This window comes from Homo sapiens, chromosome 20 (assembly GCF_000001405.40).
Source record: "Homo sapiens chromosome 20, GRCh38.p14 Primary Assembly".
NCBI lineage: Eukaryota > Metazoa > Chordata > Mammalia > Primates > Hominidae > Homo > Homo sapiens.
The window spans coordinates 10679478-10687134 of record NC_000020.11 but is presented as its reverse complement, the minus strand read 5'-3'; positions in this window follow the sequence as shown (position 1 = coordinate 10687134).

The window sequence follows — 7657 nt, the reverse complement described above, 5'->3', positions numbered from 1 at the left end:
GGGAAGAGTCAGTTTCCTAAATAGAATGTCAAATCATGTGACACCTTTCATCTGCTTTCCAACACATGAATTAAGCCCAGGTTTACCTCAGCCGACCACACCTCAGCGAGAGAGAGCGAAGAGGATTTTCAACAGGATTAAATGATATGAATAGCTTTCAGGTTTCCACTGGGGGCAGAGCTGGGGGCGGGGTGCTGCCGCAGCAGCTGCTCAGAAAAGAGAATAAAGGATTTTCTGGAGCTTTGCGACTCCATGTATCTGCTGAGGATTGATCTGAGCGCCTTTCTTATCCTCCTTTTGGTGGGAGAGGAGGGGCTTCTTTTCAAAGTCACATTATCTGACAACAAAGCCTAAACCAGGAGGGTGGTGTTTTGGGGCTTGCACACTTGCTGGGGAGAGAGGTGGGCTCAAAGGCTTCTTCAAGGAGGAGGCGCAAGGGCCCTAACAGATGGGCCTGAAGGCTGGGAAGGACTGGGGGAGGTAGGCCCAGGCTCGCTGGCTTTCCCAAAACCTCTGACCTCAGTCTTCTCCCAGGTGGCTCCTGCTCTGACAGCGACCTCACTGAAATCCCTGCAGTGAAGGGTGTCCACCCATGTGTGTCTGGGTACTGGGAGGAGCGTGTGGGTCGTGCGTCTCAGAAAGACCATTCATGCGTTGCTGGGGAGAGTGCAAAATGCTGCAGCCACTCTGGAAAACAGTTTAGCAAGTTTCAAGTTTCCCAAAAAGTGAAATGTACACTTCCCATATGACACAGCAATCCCAATCCTGGATATTTACCTAAGAAAAATTAAAAGGTGTGTTTACACAAAAACCTGTACTCAAATGTATAGCAGCTCTATTCATAGCCAATGAGATATGAAACAACCCAAAGATCTCTCAACTGGGGATGGATAAACAAACATCCCTGTATGGACTATCACTCAGCAATAAAAAAGGATCCAACCTGGAAGACACACTACAACGTGAATGAATCACAAATACACAATGCTAAGTGAAAGAAGTCACACTCGAAAGGCTGCATACTGTTTGGTGCCATCCATGGAACATTCCAGAAAAGGCAAAACTATACGCACAGGAGGAGGGAATGAGGACCAAAGGGCAACATGATCGGACTGGGGGAGTGATGGAGATGTTCCGTGTCTTGATCATGGGGGTGATTACATGACTGCATGTGTTTGTCAAAATTCATAAAGCCATATACCAAAAAGAGTGAATTTTATCATATGCAAATATGGAAAATAAAACAGCAACAGGTATGCCATGAAAGGTATGAAGAGGGATTTTAAAGTTCCTGGCCCTCCTAGCTGCTTTCACTATAATTCCACACTCCCTTTTCCAGTAGATGGTAACTGAGAGGGCAGAATGGATTGTTCTAGATTCCCATCACATGCTGCTGCAGTTGGTGAACAGGTGACCATATTCCCTAGTTGGTTCCCAGGCAGTCCCAATTCCTTTTTCCTTAGCTCATCCTCCTTTTTCTCAAGAAGAATATATGGCCTTGGCATTCTTTCTTGGGCTTATTCATTTAATATAAATTTCCCTTTGGTTCCCTCTTCTAATTCTTCACTGAGAAAAATGAAAGGCAAAGTGTACATATTATAACATGACTGAAGGGCCATTCAGGACCTCCACTTCCTGCTAAGGGACATCCCAGGCTCTGCACCCAAGCAAATGGGGTTGAGAGCACTGCTTTTCTAAGCATCACCATCACCTAGGAACTTGTGAAAAATGCAAAATCTCAGGCCTGTCCTAGAGCTGTAGAATAGGAATCTGCATTTTTAACAAAATGTCCAGGAGACTCATATGCACATTAAAGTCCAAGAAGTCCTGTTTTAGATTTAAGTGTTCATCTTAGCGACCTGATAATTTATATTCCCGCTAGATGTTGTGGAAAGAACAGGGCCTTTGGTCTCAGTTGACCCTGACTCTTACTCCACTGATTACTAGCTGTGTGTCCTCCATCTAGACCATACTAAGTGAAAAAGTGATGCTAGTTATAGAAGTGCATCACCTTTCTGACCCTCAGTTTTTCTCATCTATAAAATGGAGATATTAATATCAACTTTATAGTGTTGCTGTGGGGGTTAAATTATAAAATGTAATAAAACAACACTGTACCTGGCCCATAACCTAGGTTTATATATCTGTTGCCTCATCCCAGCCAATTAACTTACCCAGTCAATTCAATATTCATCCCATCAATTTACCCAGCCAATTCAATACTTATTGCCAGAACATTGAAGTCAAATCCAGTATCAGTTGAGACATTTGAAGGAATTAAATGGACTGGGGTAAATGGTTAGAGGAAGAGTAAGATGACCTTGATAACTGTACTATTCTGGAGGTATACCAGGTCAGTGACTCTCAAAGTTTGTTCCTTGGAATACCATCACCTGGCAACTTGTCAGAAATGTAAACTCTAGAGTCCCACCTCAGACTTACTAAATGGAAACTCCATGATAGAGCCTAGCAATTTACAGTTGAACAAGGCCTCCAGGTGATTCTGATACATGCTAGTGGGACACTGTCAACAACACCAAAAACCTACGTTATCAGCCTTTGTTAGAGACCTGGTATAAACAAGCAATATTTAGAGAAATATTGGAAAGCTAAGCTGTTCCTCCATCTTCTACAAGTAAGGTTAAAGAAAGTATGGTTAAAGTAAAAAGTCAGGTATTTTTTTTAACTCAGTATTAAAACACATTGGTGTGTGAAAACATGTCTGGTTTGGTTGTAATGGGCATTGCCAGCAATTTGCCGCTAATTCATCCAACAAATTCATTCAGCAGTTAGTAATAATGCTCCTGTTATGTGTCAGGCATTGGTCCAGGCTCTACTAACAGAATAAAACCTTCTTAAGTGATGCAACCATCACTAGTAATTGGTTGGTTAATCAAAAATGTTGGTTAAAGATGGAATCATAAAACATGAGACACAAACGTTTTACTTTAATATCAAATGTATAAATGAATATGTATTTGCCTATCTTTTGATATAAGACAAAAACTTTTTAAGTTGTTAGTATTGCAGCTTATCACATCTATAACAAGCTAATTTATTATTGTTAGTCAAATAGGAAAGCTAAAAGACATTTGGAAAACAATTTAAACGCAGAATTCTTCTAGATTATTCAGAATAGTTAAATATTATTTTAAAATTGTCTTGGTGACATTCATTGAATAAAAATTCATTTTTAGCTACTCACATTTATTTTCATCAAGTTACATTTAACTTGGGTTGCATAGAAGCACTATCTTTTTTAAGAACTCATATTCATCAGTTTATGTAATATTGAGTTGAATGATATAATAAGTACAATTGGCATATACAGATTCGGGAACCCTCCCAATTGACTACTGGGAAGTATAACAGCTGATTCCCTCTTTGAAACAGACTGCATAGGAACATGAGAACTCAGTCTATTTACTGCAAGCGTTCTCCACACTGTGGGGAACAGTCAGTATTTATTAAAGAAGGAATGCTGAACATTGGTTAATCCAATGATTAGGTTAAGTAGAAGTTGGTTATAAGAGTCTTTATCAGGATTGTTTCAGGGGAGCCTACTAATAACTTATTTTTTAAGATAAGTTGGAGCAGACTCAAGATTATTCCTGCAATAAGGCCACTTTAACTCACATTTCAGCTTGCTTTCTCAAGTGGAGGTTATTGAGTTAAGGTTGGCCAGTCTCTGCTACGTTTGGCTCACAGAAGTTTACTAGTAGTGATTATCATTCATTGAATACTTGCAAGCTGACATTTGTGGTTCTGTTTTCTTTAAAATTTTCACCCATGAAGGCTGTAGTAGTTATCTAATGCCACAATAGTGCTTCATAACAAACCAGCTCCAAACTTGAATTAAAGGAGTCAGTTGTTATTTCTCACAAGTCTATGAGTTGACTGGAAAGTTCTGCTGATCTGGGCCGGTAAGCTGATCTTAGCTGGGCTTGCTCATGTGTCTGCAGTCAGCTGGTAGGTCAGATGGAGGCTGACTGGTCAAAGATGATCTCATCTGGGACTACTTACTTCTCTTCCCCATAACCTTTCATCCTCTGGCTCGTTAGTCCAGCTTGCTCCATGGCAATGATAGAGTCTTCAATCCACCCCCACTTCACCTCCAGACTGCTTCCTCTGAGCTGTGCTTTGTTGCCATGCCCTCAGTTCAGGGTGCACCGTTCTAAGAAGCAGTTGCATTTCCTCTGCATTCCATAATGTAAGACGCAAGGTCACCCAAAATATTTATAATTATATGCTCACACATATGTGTATATCTTTCATAACAAAATGCCAGAAAAAGCTTTGCTTCATCTGAAGGACTAGCTTGTTGATTCTGCATGGAGACTGTTAATCTTGTAGCTGACTGTGTTTCCTTGGTTACTTTGGCTGTCAAGGAGCTCAGCATCCAATTCTCAACTGAAGTAGCCATCCTTGACCTGCCTGTCACTGATCTTGATCTTCTATCTTCAGCTCCATTTTCCTTGGTCCTGATATTTATTCATTTATATTTTTCTATTGGCTTATATATTTTACCTGAAATTTGCTGAAAATTATTAAAAAACTATCTGGTCTATATATACTTAAATAAATAACTGTAATTTCCATTACGACGCTGAGCTCATAATGGGACAATCAAAGATGGATTTGATTAGCCAATACTTTTACCCAATGATAGAGTATTGCAATCATTTAGTGGAAAGATCATTTGATAACTTCTACTAACTCTGGAATATTTCTGTTGTTGTGGGTTAGATTAAGGCCTCTTAGACCTTAATGTGCACACAAATCACCTGAGGATCTTGTGAAATTGTAGATACTGAGTCAAAAGGTGTGGGACAGGGGTCCGATATCCTGAATTTCTATCAAGCTCCCAGGTGATGCCAATGCTGCTGGTCCTCAGAGTGCATTCATAATAGCAAAGGTATAATAATAAGACCGAGGCTATGATGACCAGTGCTGTGACATTTAGAATTGACTCACTTGTTGCAGGCAATATGTGTGCGATAGATCCTAGAAGAGTGAGTTCAAAAAGCAGATAAATCTGTGCAAAATGGTCACTTCTGTACTCCAGGTTGTGATCATCCTCAATCAGTGGTATCAACTTCACATTTTGTTTAAAAGCTGGCTCCTAGATGCTTTTTATGTTTATAGACCTGAGTTTCCACCCTATCCATTTATTTTGCTGTGGCCTCATAAAGAGTAGATTCCTAGGAAATCACTCAGTTCAACCTCCCATCCAGGACAGGGAACCTCCCTCTCTCCTGCCACTGACAATGGTCCACAGCAGCCTGTCAGCCTGTTTGATATCCATAGATGGCAGGGACTTACTATCTCCAAGGGAGCCTCTTCCATTAAGGAATGGCTCTTATGAAAACAAAGTTTGTTGCTGAGTCAAAATCAATTTCCTTGTAACCTCACCCATTAAGCCTATTCTGTCATCTGCAGCATTTCAAGTCCGCTCTCAAGTCAGCCTTCCCCACACTGCAGAGAGCTGCTATGCTTCCTTTCTCCTCTTCTCTGGTTACACCCTCTCAATCCTTCATTTGCTCTGCTTAAAGGTCTATATTTTTAGACATTTTATCACTCTTTTCTGGGAGTGGCACAGTTGGTCAATATTCTCTTAAAAAACGGTGCCTAGGCCGGGCGCAGTGGCTCATGCCTGTAATCCCAGCACTTTGGAAGGCCGAGGCAGGCGAATCACAAGGCCAGGAGTTCGAGACCAGCCTGGCCAATATGGTGAAACCCTGTTTCTACTGAAAATACAAAAATTAGCCGGACGTGGTGACATGTGCCTGTAATCCCAGCCACTTGGGAGGCTGAGGCAGGAGAATTGCTGAACCCAGAGAGGCAGAGGTTGCAGTGAGCTGAAATCGTGCCACTGCACTCCAGCCTGGGTGACAGAATGAGACTCCATCTCAAAAAAAAAAAAAAAAATGGTGCCTAGTAGATACCCCCCAAAATTGAAAGCAGGGTCTTGAATAGATACTTATACACCCATACCCATGGTCAGAACAGCATTATTCACAATAGCCAAAAGGTAGAAGCAACTCTGGTGTCCATCAATGGTTGAATGAATAAGCAAAATGTGGTCTAAAAATACACTGGAATGTTATTCAGCCTCGACAAGGAATTCTGACATATGCTACAACATGGATGAACCTTGATGACATTGTGCTAAGTGAAATAAGCCAGGCATAAATGGACAAATACCATATGATTCCACTTAAGAGGTACCTAGGGTAGTCAAATTCATAGAGAAAGAAAGTAGAATGGCGATTGCCAGGGCCTGGGGGTGGGTGAGGAAGGTAAATGGGTGTTGTTATTTAATAGGTATAGAGTTTCAGTTTTGCAAGATGAAAACGTTCTGTAAATTGTTGCACAACAATGTGAATTTACTGAATACAACAGAATTAAAAATTGGTTCACATGGTGATTTTTATGTATATTTTACCACAATTCCAAAAAATCTCCAGCCCAGAGCTGGATAGACCCCTCTAGATGTGTTAAGGCCAATGCGGAATATGCTGGGGCTATGATTTTTCCTTGACTGCCAACGCCTACATTCCTCAGACTGTGAGCCCTGCCCTTCCTAGTATCTGCATTACACTACCTGTGTGGTCTGTTGAAACCCACCCCCGCGACCCCAACTTCTCTTCACATGAATTTCTGCCAAACTATCCTGAAATAGAATAATTGACTTCTCTAGTTTTTATCTGGCTTTTAAGAAATATTATCACTTCAGTGGAGGAAATAACCATCTTTTGGAAATTAAACTTTCTTCTTTATAGTCTTTCTAAGTTTTCTATGTCTTAGCCTTATTTCCAAAAGCAAAAAGAACTTCTGATATTGCTCTGAAATGATTTCTGAATGATGCTTATGAAAATCTATGTATCAGTAAACCTATGTTATGACTAATATCTAAGGATCTAGAAGTGTATAGTTGTTACTTGTACCAATATTTCTGTGCTGAAGCTAGTATTTCTTTATTTAGTCATCCTTAAGTGCTGTTAGCATAAAGCAATAATAAAAACAACTATTTATCTTCCCAATGGGAAATCAAACCTAAGCATTGCAATGATCCACTTTTGATGTTCTTAATAACTTCTAATTTAGAGGAAGCCATCAGTACAGAAACCACTGGCTTGAGAACAAAAGTGTCAAACACAGACACAGTCTTGTAATTTATTTGGGACCATTAACCTGAACATGAAATATGTAATTCAAAGCTCTGTTATTTTCATGCCATTGGCAGGTGCAATCACCTTTCTTTGACTCTCACATTTATGTATGTGAAAATTTGAAATTTTCTCAGATAACTAAATACATTTAGCTCTCCTTCCTCAAGTTCCAGCAACTACTTTACCTTATTTATTTATTTATTTGAGATCTGGAGGCATCTGTTTGGAAAAGCTGAGTGCAAGTGAGATGAAAGGTACTCACAGAGAAAACTGTATTGTGGTAGTTTCCAAATACTACCTGCTTCTGGAAGTGTAATTTCCAGAACCTTTCAGGAGATGAAAAGGCTTGTAAGAGATCAGTCATACTTCACAATTATAGAAAATTGTTAGTTGCATTTAAATCAGTCGACTGTACAAATGGACCAATTTGGTTAAAAAAAAATTCCATCCCAGAATATCTATAGGTTAAGTCATTCAAGTGCCAT